The sequence below is a fragment of the Homo sapiens genome, chromosome 1 (genome assembly GCF_000001405.40).
Source record: "Homo sapiens chromosome 1, GRCh38.p14 Primary Assembly".
In the NCBI taxonomy this organism is placed as follows: domain Eukaryota; kingdom Metazoa; phylum Chordata; class Mammalia; order Primates; family Hominidae; genus Homo; species Homo sapiens.
The window spans coordinates 23,392,589-23,410,849 of NC_000001.11; the positions used below are offsets into that span (position 1 = coordinate 23,392,589).

An 18,261-nucleotide genomic window follows, 5' to 3' on the forward strand; every position below is an offset into this window, starting at 1 on the left:
CACACACACTCCACACATCATACACACACACACACACTCCACACATCATACACACACACTCCACACATCATACACACCACACACACTCCACACATCACACACACACACTCCACATATCATACATGCCACACACATATACTATACACCAAACACACCTCACACATCATACACACCACACACACACCCACTCCACACATACACAGCCCCCACACTCCACACATCATATATACCAGTGGTCCCCAACATTTTTGGCGCCAGGGACTGGTTTCCTGGAAGACAGTTTTTCCATGGACAGGGTGGGGGATGGTTTCAGGATGATTCAAGTACATTACATTTATTGTGCACTTTATTTCTATTATTATTACAGTGTGATATATATAATGAAATAATTATCCAACTCACCATAATGTAGAATTAGTGGGAGCCCTGAGATCCCTTGTTTTCCTGCAACTAGATGGTTCCCACTTGGGGTGCTGGGAGACAGTGACAGATCATCAGGCATTAGATTCTCATGAGAAGCATGCAACTTGGTTTCCTCGAATGCACAGTTCACAATAGGGTTCGTGCTCCTATGAGAATCTAATGCCGTCACTGATCTGACAGGAGGCGGAGCTCAGGCAGTAATGCGAGTGATGGGGAGAGGCTGTAAATACAGATGAAGCTTCGCTCACTTGCCCACTGCTCACCTCCTGTTGTGTGGCCTGGTTCCCAACAGGTACCAGCTGGTGGCCTGAGGGTTAGGGATCCCTAATATATACCATACGCACATGCTCCATACATACACACACATACATACCACACATGCACTCCACATATACACACCACACACACACCCCACATATACCCTCTACACACCTCACACATCATACGTACCACATAGACACGCACTCCACACGTACAGCCCCCACACATGCCACACAACCTAGCGCTGGGGCCAGACAGCTTGCCTCCTGGCTCCGACTCTTTCTAGCTGTGTGCATGGGCAAATTCGTTTACTCCTCTGAGCCTCAGGATCCTCATCTGTAGAATGGGGATAATACACCTTTCTATCTCAGTTGGTGTGAACATAAACTTGGCCAATTCGCTGAACACACTTAGCACAGCACTTAGAACCTATTAGCTGTGTTCAGTATCCTGCTAGTCCAGAGCCCAGGGGGGAGGCTGAGATGAGGCTGGTTTGAAAAGCTCCCTGGCTCACTGCTGATGAGTCACGAGCCACTGACCCTCTGCACTAGGCAGGGCTAGGGGGACCTGGCTTCCTGCCTCACCATGCAGATGCCCTGCTCTCACCTCTGCCGTCATCTTGGCTATAAGCCCTGCGGAGATGGCCCCACTGAGCACGTTCCGCCGCAGGCCGGGGTTCCTGGGGTCCTTGAGGTTGCTTATGCGGCTGCGCACGCGGTTCCGGTACTTCATGTCCGTGCTCTTGAGCTCTTGGTAGATATGTGACACAGTCAAGGGCCGGCCAGCCATTCATGGAGGGGCACAGAAGGGTGCAGGCCTGGCCCTGACGCCTGAGAGCTCCAGAACCCTTTCTTCCTCTCCTCGGACTTCTACAGGAGTTGGGCCCCTCTTTTGTGACCTCTGACTCTCCAAGTGGTGATGTCTCTTGGGCATTTGTGGTCAGCCAAGTAGCAGAGAAAGAAAATAGCTTCTGGGGTAAGATCAGATCATAGCAAGCACTATAGTGTCAGGGACACCAGGACCCTGGGTTTGTCTGAGCCTCTTGTGTGACCTCAGGTGAGTCACACAACCTCTACACGCCTGAGTTTCCTTATTTATAAAATACAAGGATTCTGTGAGCTAAGCCACGTGATGCACTAGTGTGGTGTCTGGGATATATCAAATGCTCAACATGTATGGGCTGCTAAGATGATGACAAGGATGCGGATAACTTCTAGTTTGGAAGGGCCCCTGGAGGTTGTGAGTCCAGCTGTCAGAGGAAAAGATTAAGAGCCACATGTTTAAGGCTCTACGAAGTATTGCAAAAAAGAAACCACTGAGCTTTGTTTAATCTGGTGTTCCCAATAAATTTGATTATAGAGTCCCCTTCCCCTCTGTCCTTTCCCCTACAAGACCTGTTACCATCCCATGGAACCCACGCTGGGAATTGCTGGTCAGAGTTACTTCTCCCATTAACAGATGAGGAAGCTGGGGCTTAGAAAGGGTGTAGGACCTTGCTCAAGGCCACCAGGCAAATTCCCGGCAGAGACAGGGCTGGAAGCCAGACCCCTCCTGACGGTAACTCTCTCCACTCACCCGGCAGGAAGTCATCCCTGGCCACCAACCACAGAGTTTCTGTCCAAACACTGCATCCTAGGCAGGCTTCCGAGCCTCCCACTCCCTCCACCCTCTGGAGGAGCTCGGGGAACACAGCCTCATTTTCTTGGTCTCCTGAGCCAAAGAAGATCAGGAAGACAAAGCTGTTGCTGGGAAGAGCCATATACAATAAAGAGACTGCGGAGAATGTGGAAAAATGAAAACAGATGACTTGCTAGAAGTGGTGGGAGGGGAGGTGGTATTCTTTCTTTTTTCTGTTATTGTTTTAATGTTGTTTGTACAATAAAAGTGTGAAAAGCAAAGAATATGCCACAATGCATGTGAAAGCCAAAAAATGTGTTTTAAAATGTACCACTTGGGATTCCTGGGGTGTATTGATATGCGGAGCCAGCAGGGCTGGCGATACTTTCACCAGCCTCTTTCTGACTCTGTCTCCATGTCCCAAGGCCACAGAGGGGACGAGGCAGAGAGCAGACCGGGGGCACCGGCCCCTCAGAGGAACTTTTGGCTGCATTGTTAGCACAGGGCCACTCCAAAGAGGACAGATCTATTTTAGGACATAGAGCAGTCAAGCCCCCAAATGTACCCTCCCCCTGACCTCCAGCTGGCTAAAAACAAAGAGCTAAAGTGTTTGATGCAGCTTTGATTTCCTCTCCTTTAGAAGAGGGACATTCAGGCTGGGGGTGGTGGCTCACGCCTGTAATCCCAGCATTTTACGAGGCTGAGGAGGGAGGATCACCTGAGGTCAGGAGTTCAAGACCAGCCTGGCCAACATGGTGAAACCCCATGTCTACAAAAAATACAACAAAATTAGCCAGGTGTGGTGGCGGGCACCTGTAATCCCAGCTACTTGGGAGGCTGAGGCAGCAGAATCACTTGAACCCAGAAGGCAGAGGTTGCAGTGAGCTGAGATCATGCCACTGCACTCCAGCCTGGGCAACAGAGCAAGATTCCATCTCAAAAAAAAAAAAAAAAAGGAACTTTCAGTGGATGGAGGAAAGGCTGGGAGTGGAACTTTGTACTGGACCATCTGCTGTTGTTTCAAACTGGGCTTAAAGGTGGAAAGGACCTGCTTGGAGGGATGACTGTTCAGGAGAAAATGAAGATGAAACTCGTGATAGTTCTCATACCTTGTGTTCTGCCTTCTTGAATTAACAGGAAATGATGAAAATGTACTTTTTGAGGTGCTGAATGGCTCCAGACTTGTTGAGGTATTGCTGATTAATCATTAAATGAGAGTAGAGAGAAACCACCAGAAAATAAGTTGGAGGGAATCAGGGTAGGCCACAGGAAGAAGATGGAAACGCAAATTTGTCGTCTGCAGATTGGCCCCTGGCTCTCCTCAACAGACCCTGCTGAACTCCGCAGGTAGAACCCAGGAGCCCTCAAAAGGGTCGCTCACACCTCGGTGTGACACTTAGACTTCCTGTCCCCTGACTGTCTCCCCGCTCCAATACCATGCAAACCTTTGTCTCTAGTAAAAGAAGCTCCATGTTTTCATTCAGTGGGGGCCAAGTGGGGTGGGATTTTTTTTCTCCCAAGCCAAACACCTTTTGGTGCAACAGATCTATGAATACATCCCAGTGGTGGCCACCTCTCCTGTCTACACAAGGCCCCTTTCAGGTGAGAAGTTGGGGAGCAGGGGGCACATGGAAAGGATTCAATACATGGAATCCAAAGACAAAGTCTCCAGTCCCGCTTTGACAGTTCTGAGCCTCAGACTCCTCATCTGTAAAATGGGAACAGTCCCTGCCTCACAGAGAATGCTGTGAGAGCTAACAGAGGTAGGAAGTGTCAATTGGCCATTGCAGTGCTTGATATATATTTGGGAGTAAAAAAACAGAGGGCAGGGCGCTGGGTGTGATGGCTCACACCTGTAATCCCAGCACTTTGGGATGCAAAGGTGGGTGGTGCATCACCTGAGGTCAGGAGTTCAAGACCAGCCTGACCAACATCGTGAAACCCCATCCCTACTAAAAGTACAAAATTAACCAGGTGTGATGGTGCATGCCTGTAATTCCAGCTACTTGAGAGGCTGAGGCAGGAGAATCGCTTGAACCCAGAAGTTGTAGGTTGCAGTGAGGCGAGATTGCGCCATCGCACTCCAGCCTGGGCAACAGGAGTGAAACTCCGTCTCAAAAAAAAAAAAAAAAAAAAAAGGGCGCTGTTAACATCAGAGGATGGGAGAAGGGAAAAGGCTGAGCATGGGAAATGCTGACCTCTCAATCTAGTCTGTTCCTGGAAGTAACGACTTGGCCAACTGAGGCACGCTATTACACAGCCTAGCTGGCACAGCCGCTGAGCCTCCAGGTTCCAGGGTCACAATTTCTGGATTCAGATCCCATCTCTGCTACTACTGTTAGCTGTATGGGCTTTGGGAAATGATTTGACCTCTCTGAGTCTTAGTGACTTCACCCATGAAACTGGATAAATCAGGGAACCTACTGTGGGGTTGTTATCAACACTGAATGAGGTACTGCTCATTTTCAAGTTTTGCTGGCAGGTGTAAAATAATAATGAATGTTAGATAGAATTAAGAACTCTGGTTCAGGGGCAGAGCAGGGGCTGTTCCCGGAGCCCTTCCTCTCCTTCCTCACTCTCCCAGCTCGCTTGCACCTTGGATGGGTGCTGCTAGACGGTGCAGACACCCACAGCCCCGGCACAGTTCAAGGATATGATCTTCGATTTCTGATGCCATCTTGTCACAGTTGACTCCATAGTCCTTGTAATCATCTAAAAGAGATTCGAGAAATACAGGTATCAGCCAGACACAACGTAGGCAGTGAAGCCTGCTTGTACCTGGGACTAGAGTGTTCCTGTACCATCCCTTGGGGTGCTGAGAAAGACTGAATTTCATCTGCCCTCAGTGAGATTGGGAAAAGGGACTCCTTCCCTCCCTCATCCCTAGCCCAGGCTCTCTCACCGTCCGCCTTCAGGGCTGCTGACAGCATCTCCACACACTTGTCCCGGACAGAGTCCCCTGTGAGATAGCAGGGGGCCAGGAGACACATGGAAGAGGCAAACGTGGGGGTCAAGGGGCTGCTAGGTGTTTTGGGGCTCTCCGCTTTTGATTTGCTGCTGTTTGATCTGAGGATGACAATAAGTAACAGACATTTGACATTAAGAGAGTAAAGCATTTATTGAGCAGCATTCTAGATGTCTTGATGGATGATCTCCTATAATCCTCATAACAACCTCATGAGGTAGGTACTATTTTAGGCACTTGACATGGATCATCTCATTTAATCCTCGTGACAACCCCATGAGGTTGATACTATTCTCATCCCCATTCGAGAGATGCATTTTAAAGTGCATGGTAGAGAAAGATGTATCTAAAGGTGCACTTGGCTCAGATAACACATCGACGAACCAGTAGAAACAGAATTCAAACCCAGGCAGTCGGCTCTTAACCAGCCACTGTGCGTTACTCATTATAGAACAGTGTAACACCACCAATAATTATATGCAATTGATTAGGCACTGTGCTAGCTGCTCTCTATCTATGCTCTCCTAAATGTATGAACTGTTTATTCACTCATTCACTAAATATTTATTACAAACCTATTCTCCAGGCGCTTGTCAAGAACAAAGGATAATGCAGATAAGTCAGCAAAGCTCCTTCCCTTAAGGGGCTTACAGTCTAGTGAATAGTGACTATCTACCACCATTTAAAAGGGCTGGCTTTGCTAGATGCCAGAACTGTGCCAGGCACTTTAAAAGAATTTTCCAATTTAATCTTCATAGCAGTCCCAGGAGGTATACTCTCATCATCTCTATTTTAAGACGAGGAAATAAACCCAGAGAGGTACACCACTGAGATTTGCCTAAGGCTATACACCACCAGGATTTGAATCCACATCTGTCTAATTCCAACATCTATGCTCTTTTTATTAATTTATTTTATTTTTTGAGACAGGGTCTCTCTCTCTCTCTCTGTCACCCAGGCTGGAGTGCAGTGGTGCAGTCATGGCTCACTACAGCCTTGACCTCCTGGGCTCAGGCAATCCTCCCACCTTAGCCTCCAAGGAGCTGGGACCACAGGAGCACGCCATCATGCCTGGCTAATTTTTACCTTTTTTTGCAGAGATGGGATCTCACCATGTTTCCCAGGCTGATCTAAAACTCCTGGACTCAAGCAATCCATCTGCCTTGGCCTCCCAAAGTGCTGGGATTACAGGTGTGAGCCACCACACCCAGCCAACACCTATGCTATAATCTATGATGTACTATCTAAGAATTATCTCATTCAGGTTTTGTTTATATATATGTATATATGTATATATATATATATATATATATATATATATATATCCATATGTGCACAGACATTTAGAAGGCTAACTATGTGGCTCAATCTGTCATAACAAAATATCAGACTGGGAGGCTTCACTAGCAGAAATTTATTTCTCATGGTTCTGGAGGCTGGGAAGCCCAAGATCAAGTTGCTGGCCAATTTGCTTTCTCATGAGGGCTCTCTCTTTGCTTGTGAATGGCAGTCTTCTCATTGTATTCACATGGTGTCTCTTCTCATAGGGACACTAATCCTATTGGATCAGGGCTCCACCCTTATGACCTCATTTAACCTTAATGAAGGCCCTATCCCCAAATACAGTCACAATGGGGTTTGGGATTTCAACATATGAATTTTAGGGGGTCACAAACATTCAGCCCATAATACCATGTTAATAGCAATTATCTCTCTGAGGTGGAATGATAGGAGATTTTCATTTTCTTCGTTTGCTTATGCCTATTTGCTAAATCTTCTATACAGAATTTATCTACTTTTGCGATGTGAGAAACCTTTTTTTTTTTTTTTTGAGAGGGTGTCTCACTCTGTCATCCAGGCTGCCAGGCTGGAGTGCAGTGGCACAATCTTGGCTCACTGTAACCTCCACCTCCCGGATTCAAGTGATTCTCCTGCCTCAGCCTACCTAGAAGCTGGGATTACAGGCATGCACCACCACGCCCAGCTAATTTTTGTATTTTTAGTAGAGATGGGGTTTTGCCATGTTGGCCAGGCTGGTCTTGAACCCCTGACTTCAGGTGATCCACCTGCCTTGGCCTCCCAAAGTGTTGGGATTACAGGCATGAGCTACTGTGCCCGGCCAAAAAAATGCATTCTTGGCAGAAATGATGGAAGTGTAGAAGGCCAAGGTTTGCATGGGCAATGTCAAAGGGCTCAATGCAGCTGGAGCGTGAGGGTGAGGGAGCTTGTAAGAAGGAGAGGGAGTTGGAGAGAAAGGATCTAACCAGACTCTGGGGTTTGTTAAGGATGGTAAAACAAAAGCCACCATTTACCACTGCTCTGCTGTTTATTCTTTTTGGTAACCCTAAAAGTCACAAATTACTGGGCCCATTTTACAGATGATGGAATGGAGCCTTGAAGAAGTGAAGTGTGTCAATCATAGCTCACTGCAATCTCGAACTCCTGGGCTCAAACAATCCTCCTGCCTCAGCCTCCCAAGTAGCTAGGACTGACTACAGGCAGATGCCGCCACACCAGGCTTTTTTTTTTTTTTTGTAGAAATGGGGGTCTCAATATGTTGCTCAGGCTGGACTCAAACTCCTGGCCTCAAGTGATCCATTCGCCTTGGCCTCCCAATGTGCTGAGATTACAGGCATGAGCCACTGTGCCTGGCAAGACTTTGTGATAGTTGCACAACTCCCTCCCTCCCAAGATGTTTTTGCACTATTCTTTAGGGTAGGAGCCAGGAAGTCAGGAAGTCTCTGTCTTCATTCCTCTGCTCTTCTCACCTCCTTTTTCAATAACCCATCAGAATCTGCCAGCCAGCCCCTATATCTCTGTTGAGAAAAAAGTGGACTCATCAGAGTTGAAAAAATTAAGGTCCCCTCCTGGAGTGAAATTAAGACCCACTCGAGGGTCTTACCAAACTGAGCCCTTGTGGAAGCGCCCAGAGAGCTGCTGCATTTCCTCACTCCAGGAGGCACCATTTACATTAGTAGCTTGGTACCTCCTGTAATTATACAGTGCACAGCCTGGGCAGCTGCGCCAGGCAGCCTTGGGGCCTGGATCCACAGCTGCTTCTCATGTTCACTTTCAGGCTGTGGACATGCTACTTCCTTTCAGGAAGAAGAGGATTCTGGACTTCTGACAAAGTCTCTCAGGCCCAGGGAGTTGTGTCTGAGAGTGAGGCTAACTGAGTAGCCCAGGCTTCTCAGGATCAACAACCTGGAGTTACCAGAGAATCCCATCCAACATCCTGCTGGGCACAGCTCAGTGTGGACTCTGCTGGTGACCTCCCTGTCCCCCACCTCTTGCTGTTTGGCCTGACCTTGGATCTCCTCTTTCACCCCAGACCCCTGGACCTTTGGGATTTTTGCATTCTCTAGAGACTTGAGGTTCCTCAAAAGTGCCTCCATGCATACCGGTGAGGTGGGCTGGGGATGGTAAACTCTGTTCTTGTAAGGTTTACATTTTGAATTTCTAAAAATTTTGTCCAAAGGGATTCATTTCCTAGCTTTTATTTATTTTTAATGCAGTTTGAAACTTACTGTCCTAGATTAATCTAGCCTTAATTCTACCCGACCCTGCCTGACAACTGGGTTGCCTGGCAGCATGGTGGAGGGACAGGGAAGCTGAGATCCAAGCAGATTTCTCCTGGAGTCAGATTGCAGCAGGAGGTTTGGGTGAGGAAAGGCTGGACAGGGCGTGAACTCGCGGGGCTGTTGGCATCCAAAACGGATGTTCCTGCCCCCAAGCCTGATCCTGGTCACAGGGTTCCCACCTGAACAGTCACAATAGCCCCAAAACTGGTTTCCCTGTGTCCTCTTCCCCCACTATAATCCATTTGCCAAAGAGCCGCCAGAGGGACTTTTCAAAAATTCACAGCGGATCAAGTCACTCCCCTGCCTCTAACCCTCCAACACAGGGGTTCCCACCCCCTGGGGCCACGGACTGGTACCAGTCTGTGGCCTGTTAGGAACCGGGCCACACATCAGGAGGTGGGCCCTGTTGTGAACTGCGCATGTGAGGGATCTAGGTTGCACGCTCCTTACGAGAATCTAATGCCTGATGATCAGAGGTGGAACAGTTTCGTCTTGAAACCATCCCCTACAAACCCTGGTCCATGGAAAAACCGTCTTCTATGAAACCAGTCCCTGGTGCCAAAAAGGTTGGGGACTGGTGGTGTAACAGCTTCCAATTATTTTTAGCATAAAGTAAAACTCCTGGCCGGGTGCAGTGGCTCATGCCTAAAGTCCCAGCACTTTGGCAGATCGAGGTGGGAGGATCACTTTGGTCAGGAGTTTGAGACCAGCCTGGCCAACATGGCGAAACACTGTCTGTACTAAACATATAAAAATTAGCTGGGTATGGTGGCGCATGCCTGTAATCCCAGCTACTCAAAAGGCTGAGGCACAAGAATCGCTTGAACCCGGGAGGTGGAGGCTGTAGTGAGCTGAGATCATGCCATTGCACATCAGCCTGAGTGACCGAGTGAGACTGTGTTTCCAAAAAAACAAACAAAAACAAAACCAAAAGCTCACCACAGCCTCCCAGCCCCTGCACGTCCTGCCCCTACCCACTTTCTGATGTAATCTCATGCCATGCTCTCCGCATGGTTTACGGAAGGCCTCCACAGCACTGCTTCTTTCTGTTCCTTAAACATACCCATCCCTCCCACTGCCGGGCCTTTGCACAGGCTGGTCTTCCTTCCTGGAATGCTCTTCCTCCTCCAGGTCTCAGCTCGCATGAGGGAGGCCTTCCCTCACCACCTCAGCTGAGGCTGATGGTCCCCGCCCTGTAATTCTCTAGCACATCACCTGATTTCTCGCTTTTACAGCACTTATCCAAGTGTATGATTAGCTTGTTTATGTGTTTATAAACATCGTCTGCCTCCATCTCCAGATTACAGGCTCCAGAGTATTGGGACCCTGTCACGGGTTCACCACTGCATTCCAGCTCCTGTAACAGTGCTCTAGGTGGACACTTGATACATCATTGCTAAATGGATGGATAAATGAATAAATGAATGAATACATGATGAATTGAGGAACTGACCACAGAGAGATGAAAGGCACACCCAGAGGGTCCCCCAGGGCTGAAATGTGGAAAGAGGAAGGTCCTCTTTGGAAGGACAGTGGCCCCACTCTCTGGGCCTAAGAGAGGGATCTCTCTCTCTGGGAGTACGAGAGGGATCTCTCTCAAAGCCAGCCTCTGTCAACTCCCAGGACCCAGGCAACGCCATCTCCTGCAGCTGGGATGGTGTCTCGCTGACCTGTGCGTGCCATTGCACATTCTCAACAGCTATGACTCACCACAGGAAAACTGTCAGGGGAGCCTGCAGCATGCTGCTTTGAAGGAGCCCCAACGAATGACAGTAATAATGGTGGTCGTTTTTGAAACGACTGCACTGAGTTGGTTTACTTATTAAGAACCTAGTCTCTGGAGCCAAACTCCCAGGTTCACAGCCTGAGACCAACACTTTGTAGCTATGTGACCTTGGGTGAGTTCCTTAACCCCTAGGTGCCTCAGTTTTTTTCACACGTAAAATCGGAATAATAATAGTACCCATCTTATGGGGCAGATGAAAGCAACTAAGTGACAAAGTATTAGGCAGTTTACATAGATAACCAGGTTTCATATGAGTATTATTACAAAGTATTATGTATTTATTGAGCATTTACATGGTTTGGGAACAGTGCTGGGTATTTCATTACCTCATTTAATCCTCACAATGACCTTGAAAGGGGTTCATAATTGTCTCCATTTTACAGATCAGTAGACTGAAGCTCAGAGAGCTGAACTGAATTATCCATCCAAGTTACTGCCCCAAGTTATCCATCCAACTAGCAAAGGGTATAGTCAGACCACGAACCTGCCTGTCGCCCTTCCAAATTCTTTTCAACACATCAACTGTGTCTTTAAAAGAGAGGTTTCCAGAGTCCTCCTACCTGAGCAAGACTAGGCTGTTTGGAGCATTTCTTCCCACCTTCCTGGCAGGGCACACCCAGCCCTGGTCCCGCCTCCCCGGTTAGGAGCTGGCTGGCTGGCTGGAATTCGTGTCTGGGCAGCATTTCAGGCAGCCACACTCATTTTGCTTTCAATGCACACGCCTGGGAACTGAGCCAAACTGCAGAGAGGGCATCATCGGCCGGGGTGGGAGGTTGGATTTATCAACAGCTTCCTTCTGCTCCCCGGATGTGCCCGCACCGCACCAGTCCTTAGAAAATCCTCCTGCCCCAGGTCTGAGTAGAGGCATCTGGAGGCCGGGCCCGCTGCTTCTGTGCGCCACCTCGAGGGCATTTCAGTTACTGCATCAGCGAGCATGCTCTGCAAATGGCAAATCATTCTGATAGCCAGGTAAAAGGACAACTGAGAACAGTCAACTTTCTCCCCTGTCAACATGGTATCCTCCGTGGTCTGCTTCCTGGTACTCCAGCTACAGTTCCCAGAGCATCGTGCTCACTCCCACTTCCACACCTTTGGGTGTGCCATTTCTTTCTGCTTGAAATGACTCTCCTGACTCGCCTCCCAAACTCCTCCTATTGACTTTCCATTCTCAGCTCAAATACTTTCTCTTCCACGAAGCCTCCTTTGACTTTTATAGTCATATTGAGACATGCTTCCTATGTTCCCACGGTGTTTTATACCTACCCCTTTCTAAAAACATGCATTTTGGTGTCTGCCTCTGCACTCATGGTTAGCCCTAAGAAGGGAGAGGTGATGAGTTTCAACCTTTGCCTGGCCTTACAGGTCAAAAATGGGTGAGCTACAAATATGTTTTGTCTCCCTATTGTGTCTTAGAAAAATGTGAATATGTTGCTGATACTGAAAACTGGGAGTTTTGGCCAGGCGCGGTGGCTCACACCTGTAATCCCAGCACTTTGGGTGGTTGAGGCAGGAGGATTTCTTGAGCCCAGGAGTTCGAGACCAGCCTGGGCAACAAAGTGAGACTCTGTCTCTACAAAAAAAAAATTTTTTTTAAGTTAGCTGGGTGTGGTGGTGTGCACCTGTGGTCCTAGCTACACGGGAGGCTGGAGCAGGAGGATTGCTTGAGCCCAGGAGGTTGAGGCTGCAGTGAGCCCTGTTTATACCACTGCACTCCAGCCTGGGTGAGATCCTGTCTCAGAAAAGGTGGTGTCGGGGAGTTCCATATGAAAATCTAGGTGTCTGGCTTTTCTTTAAAAAATTGGAAGACATGGCACCCTGGACCTGCATTTCCCCAAAGCAACAATCAGCTGCAGTGGGGTAGTGGCTGCCCCCTTCAGACAGGCACATACTTTCTAGTTTGCCATGATCTCCACTAGTCACCCCGTGTATGCATGTGCTCTTGATCCCCAGAGAATGTTGAATTTGCAAGGAAGTGCTCAATAGATGTGCTTGCCAAATCAATGAATGGATGAAAGAACGGAAGAGAAAAATGAAATAGAGAAGTAAATCATGCAGGAAACAGTCTGGGTAGGAGACAAATTAATGAGATTTGCTGCCTGGCACGGTGGCTCACACCTGTAATACCAGCACTTTGGGGGGCCGAAGAGGGTGGATCACAAGGTCAAGAGATCGAGACCATCCTGGCCAACATGGTAAAACCCCGTCTCTACTAAAAATACAAAAAATTAGGTGGGCATGGTGGCACATGCCTGTAGTCCCAGCTACTTTGGAGGCTGAGGCAGGAGAATCACTTGAATCCGGGAGATGGAAGTTGCACTGAGCCGAGATCGTGCCACTGCACTCCAGCCTGGCAACAGAGCGAGACTTCATCTCAAAAAAAAAAAAAAATTAATGAGACTTCCTTGTGTCCCTTTTGGTTTCCTACCCTCAGTACTGAACCAGCAGGAAATGGCACAGCTTCTGGAAGGACAAACAGATTCTGTTTGACTGACCTTCAGAGAAAGAATGCATTAGGGGAGGGAGCCAGGAGATTTCAAGACCATGAAGACAAAGTCAGGAGAGGAGTCTGGAGGCTCAAATCCTTACATGAATGTCGAGTGTTTTGATTACAGCATCAAACCTAGAATGTCATTAGTGACCAGTGTTTCATCTGGGGATAGGATGACGCTTCATTATCCAGGAAAGTCCTTCACTCTCCGGGGCACTTGGCATCTCTGGTTCCTGCCACGAAATGTCAGGAGTATCCCCCTCCTTCTCACCTTACCCCTACTTTGGCCCAAGTCATAGTGACAACCATAAACGCCTCCACACATTTCTAAATGACCCCTGCTGAGATCCACTGGTCTAGAACCAGGATGACACTGGAACCACCATTTCTAGGCCTGACCCACATCAGACATTGCTAATTGACTACAGAACTTTTTCTACAGCCTCAGACTCCCTCTCCAATCAGCACTCCAGATAGCTTCCATGCATCAGCTGGAGCTGGCTGCCATGTTGGAGGTGTGCAATACAGCCTAGGCCCGTTGAATCTTCATAAAACCTTAAACAACCTAATTTTTGTGTCTCTAATTTTCTTTCCAATGGCAATCTTACTGATACATTAGGCTTAAAATAATTCTGCAGCTCTCACACCTACTCTCCCAGAGGCCAACACCCTTATCATCCCACCAAGGTGCCCCAAAACCCAATGTGGCCCATGGACCCTAATCGTTCTCCTTGATCTGCTGCTTGGCCACTTCCTGGCCTGGCCTGCTCTCCTTGGCCCTGTTTCTCCTGCTCTGACCTCTGACCACTCTCTTGGACCACACTTCACACCCACTCCTTTATCCACAATCTTTCCTTGGTGCCCTCATCCAGGTTCTTCAGATGTCAGTTACACACTAATGACTCTACAATTTTTGTTTTGTTTTGTTTTGTTGTGTTGTGTTTTGTTTTGTTTTGAGATGGAGTCTCGTTCCATCCCCCAGACTGGAGTGCAATGGCGCAATCTCAGCTCATGGCAACCTCCGCCTCCCGGGTTCAAGTGATTCTTTTGCCTCAGCCTCCTGCCACCACGCCCACTAACTGTTGTATTTTTAGTGCAGACGGGGTTTTGCCATGTTGGCCAGGCTGGTCTCGAACTCCTGGCTTCAAGTGATCTGCCCGCCTCGGCCTCCTAAAGTGCTGGGATTACCGGCATGAGCCACCGCACCTGGCCTTGACTCTGCAATTTATATTTCCAGCTGAGACTTTCTTCCTGAGTTGTAGCCTCATATAATCCAACTGCATATTTGACTTCTCCAACTGAATGACTAACACACGCCTCAAATCCAACACATCGAGACCTGAACTCTGGATTTTCCACCCCAAGCCTGATTTGCATAAGCACAGTCTTCCCCATGCCAATTCATGGCAACTCCATCCTTGCAGATGCTCAAGTGAAAAATCTTGGACTCATCCCTGACTCCTCTGTTTCTCTCATTCCTCACATCCAATCTGTCAGGAAGTTCTGTCAGCTTTCCTGTCAAGATATATCCGGAAACCACCCCTTCACCCCACTTCCACCATTACCTCCCTGATCCAAGCCACCATGATATCTTGCCTGAATTACCGCAACAGCCTCCTGGCTGGTGTTGCTGTTCCTTCATTCCTGGCACAGCAGCCAGAGCCATCCTGATAAATTTGGTGACATCATTCCCGCCCTCAGTACCCTCCAATAGCTCCAGCTTTACTCATTCCCCCAACCCTCCCCTTCGCTTAAACTGCTCCAGCCCTCAGCCACTTCACTGTTCCTTGACTCTGCCAGGCACACCCCCACCTCAGGGCACTTGGCTTGGAATGACCCCAGTATCTGCTTGGCTAAATCCCTCTTTCAAGCTTTTGCCTAACGATCACTTCCTCGATGAGGACTTTTCTGACAACTCCATGAATATCCTTCCCCGATCCTCTTCCCTCTCCTCTTTTGATTTCCACAGGACTTGTCACCTTCTGAACTTTACCTGTCTCCCCCTACTTAGAATAAAGGCCCCCATCACTGCAGGGATTTTTGTCTCTTTTGTGCATGTCTGTATCCCTGGCACCTAGGATAGTTCTTGACACATAATAGGCCCTCAATAAATATTTGATGACTAAATGACTTGATGATTTATGCTAATTTTGGGTAGACATCCTAGCCAGTTCAGCCCAAATCCAGAGAGAGCCCATTCCAGGTATAGGCTTTCTTTCTTTTTCTTTCTTTTCTTTTCTTTTTTGTTTTGTTTTGTTTGTTTTGTTTTTGAGATGGGGTCTCACTCTGTTGCCCAGGTTGGATTGCAGTGGCGCGATCTCGGCTCACTGCAACCTCTGCCTCCTGGGTTCAAGCGATTCTCCTGCCTCAGCCTCCCGAGTAGCTGGGATTACAGGTGCCCACCACCATGCCTGGCTAATTTTTGTATTTTTAGTAGAGGCGGGGTTTTGCCATGTTGGCCAGGCTGGTCTCAAACTCCTGACCTCAAGTGATCCGCCTGCCTCGGCCTTCCAAAGTGCTGGGATTACAGGCATGAGCCACTGTGCCCAGCCTAGGTATCGGCTTTCAAGACCTCTGTCCCCACTGGGTTCAATCGGACCTTGAGACTGGTCCCCTGACAGTGATGGGGCAACAGCAACCAGTCAGCCACCCCAGGGAAGGAGCCACACCCCTGATTCGGGGGCACACTTGCTAAATGGATGGATGAATGAATAAATGAATGAATACATGATGAATTGAAGAATTGACCACAGAGAGATCAAAGGCACATCCAGAGGGTCCCCCAGGGCTGAAATGTGGAAAGACTGTGTGGGTCTTAGAATACGGGGGCAACATAATGTAGGAGGTTTCTTCCTTCCCTCCTTTCCTCTGCCTTGGGCTTCCTCCATAAAAACAGAGAAGGGGACACAGGCTGAATAGGACACTGGGATGGAGAAAGCTGTGGTTTCCTTTACCTTTCCACCGATGGTCTTTTTGGAGAGGAGGAGGCAGAAGACTTGGAGTCCACAGAGTCTCTCCTGAAAGAAGAAAATTGGCAAGGAGACTGCTTTGTAGACTAGCATCAGTACTGACAGGAAGGTGGGGAGAAAGCATCCTGGGAAAAGGCCAGCTGGCTTGAGGCTAAGGAAGCCCACCCGGGCCACAGCTACTTGGGAGAGGGAGCTCCAGGCGGTGCCGGCTGGTCATGACCTTCACCTACCCTCCATCAAGTGAACCAATACAAGGGAAGGAAGTCGATATCTGCCAAGGGCCTAACACATGCCATGTATGTGACATGGGTTGTGTTGCTCATTATTTACAACTATTCTCAGCAGGTCCCTGTCCTCCTGGCTGTCAGGCAGGCCTTAGCTAACTGGAGTCCACAGAGACTGGATTCCTGGAGTTGTCTGTACTCATCTGGAACCAGAGAAACAGAGAAATCAGCTTCAGCCTCCCCGGCAGGCACTTTAGGAGGAGGAGAGGAGAAACACATGGGCCTTGGGGATAGAAGAGCTGAGTTAAAATAGCAATCAAAAAAGCAGGAGACAAAATTAGATGCGGACTGTGCCTAAAGTCACGCAAGAAAACCAATGCATAGGAGGAAAAGCAGATCTAAAGAAAATATACTCAAATGCTAACCACTGTTACAGCTAGGGTGATGGGATTAAAGGTGATTTTTTCCCAATTTTTCCAAAATGCATTCAGCTACATTATTTTTATGATATATAATATAGTTATTCCTTTTACTGGTTTTAAAAAATCAATCTGTTTGTTAATTGCAAACCCCACTCCCCATCTCACTTACCCTGCCTTCCTTTTAATTCCATAGCACGTGTCACCTTCTAGCATACTACATAATTGACTTTTTTTCTTTGAGACAGAGTCTCACTCTGTCACCCAGGCTGGAGTGCAGTGGTGCTATCTCGGCGGCTCACTGCGACCTCCACCTCCTGGGTTCAAGTGACTCTCCTGCCTCAGCCTCCTGGGTAGCTGGGACTTACAGGCGTGTGCCACCATGCCTAGCTAATTTTTATATTCTTAGTAGAGAGGGGGTTTCACCATGTTGGCCAGGCTGGTCTCAAACTCCTGACATCAGGTGATCTGCCCACCTCGGCCTCCCAAAGTGTTGGGATTACAGGTGTGAGCCACTGTGTCTGGCCAATTTACTTATTTATATTTAATTATATTTATTGTCCGACACCCCATGTAAATTCCACAAGAGCAGCATTTGGTGGGTTTTGGTCACTGTGGTGAACATTGTCTGTGCTCAGCCCAGTTTCCCTTGGGTGCTCACTCTCTCAGTGCCTCTGGACCCAAGAGCTGCCTCCTGCAAGCTCCCCAGGGCCTCTGTCTGAGGGAGTTCTTCCCCACAGCTAGGCTGGCTGGAAGTGCTGGTCACTAATTAATGACCCCAGGAACAGCCCTCCACCAGACACATGGGAGAGGGGAAGAGAGGTCCTCATTCACATGCCCCTGCACTCCCACAACAGGCCCTGGGAGTTCTTCTGTGGGGCTTCTCCCTAGTGCACCTTGGGGATAGACAATGCAAGCAGGAACCATAAGCTGGAATTCCTACAGTGGGAGAGGGGAGAGAAGACACGAGACTCCACCCTGGAGAACCACTTTCTGACTCTTCCTCATTGCTTTTCTTTTTAGAATAAATCAGAAATACTCCGCAGTTATTGCAAATGACTGTTATGAAAACTGTTCAGGAACATAAAAAAATGCTTAGAATACAATAGCAAGATAAATAAAAAGGTGACATATTAGTCGATACTAGAGCTAGAGCATCAGGAAAAGTCTAAAGATTAGACCGTAAGAAAATAGAAACCAGCTGGGCGCAGTGGCTCACACCTGTAATCCCAGCACTTTGGGAGGCCAAAGTGGGCAGATCACTTGAGTCAGGAGTTCAAAACCAGCCTGGCCAACATGGTGAAACCCCATCTCTACTAAAAATACAAAAATTAGCCGGGCATGGTGGTGTGCACGTGTAATCCCAGCTACTCGGAGGCTGAGGCAGAGGAATCACTTGAACCTGGGAGATGGTGGTTCCAGTGAGCTGAGATTGTGCCACTGCACTCCAGCCTAGGCAACAGAGGGAGACTCCATCTCAAAAGAAAAGAAAAGAAAGAAAATAGAAACCATGTTTCAAAGACCTGTA

At 48.3% G+C, this 18,261-nt stretch overlaps 1 protein-coding gene across 7 annotated transcripts in view, besides 1 other annotated feature; it reads right to left on the reverse strand.

The window, feature by feature from the left end:
- The window catches only part of TCEA3 (transcription elongation factor A3), a 43,840-nt gene that overhangs the window by 11,680 nt on the left and 13,899 nt on the right, over positions 1–18,261 (reverse strand). For 6 of the 7 annotated variants that reach the window (NM_003196.3, XM_011542053.4, XM_017002201.2 and 3 more), the window contains 4 exons: positions 16,076–16,138; positions 5,204–5,367; positions 4,957–5,013; positions 1,291–1,445 (listed from right to left, as the gene is read on the reverse strand). In NM_003196.3, coding sequence (NP_003187.1) covers positions 1,291–1,445; positions 4,957–5,013; positions 5,204–5,367; positions 16,076–16,138 — 439 coding nt within the window. The remainder of the gene's footprint in view (positions 1–1,290; positions 1,446–4,956; positions 5,014–5,203; positions 5,368–16,075; positions 16,139–18,261) is intronic. The other variant, XM_017002202.3, reaches the window with a different exon arrangement.
- Positions 11,442–11,491: an enhancer, noted in NCBI's record as "active region_363". NCBI's record gives its function as "activates an Ori minimal core promoter by ATAC-STARR-seq in GM12878 lymphoblastoid cells {active_cell/tissue: GM12878}" and the evidence as "EXISTENCE:reporter gene assay evidence [ECO:0000049][PMID:35858748]".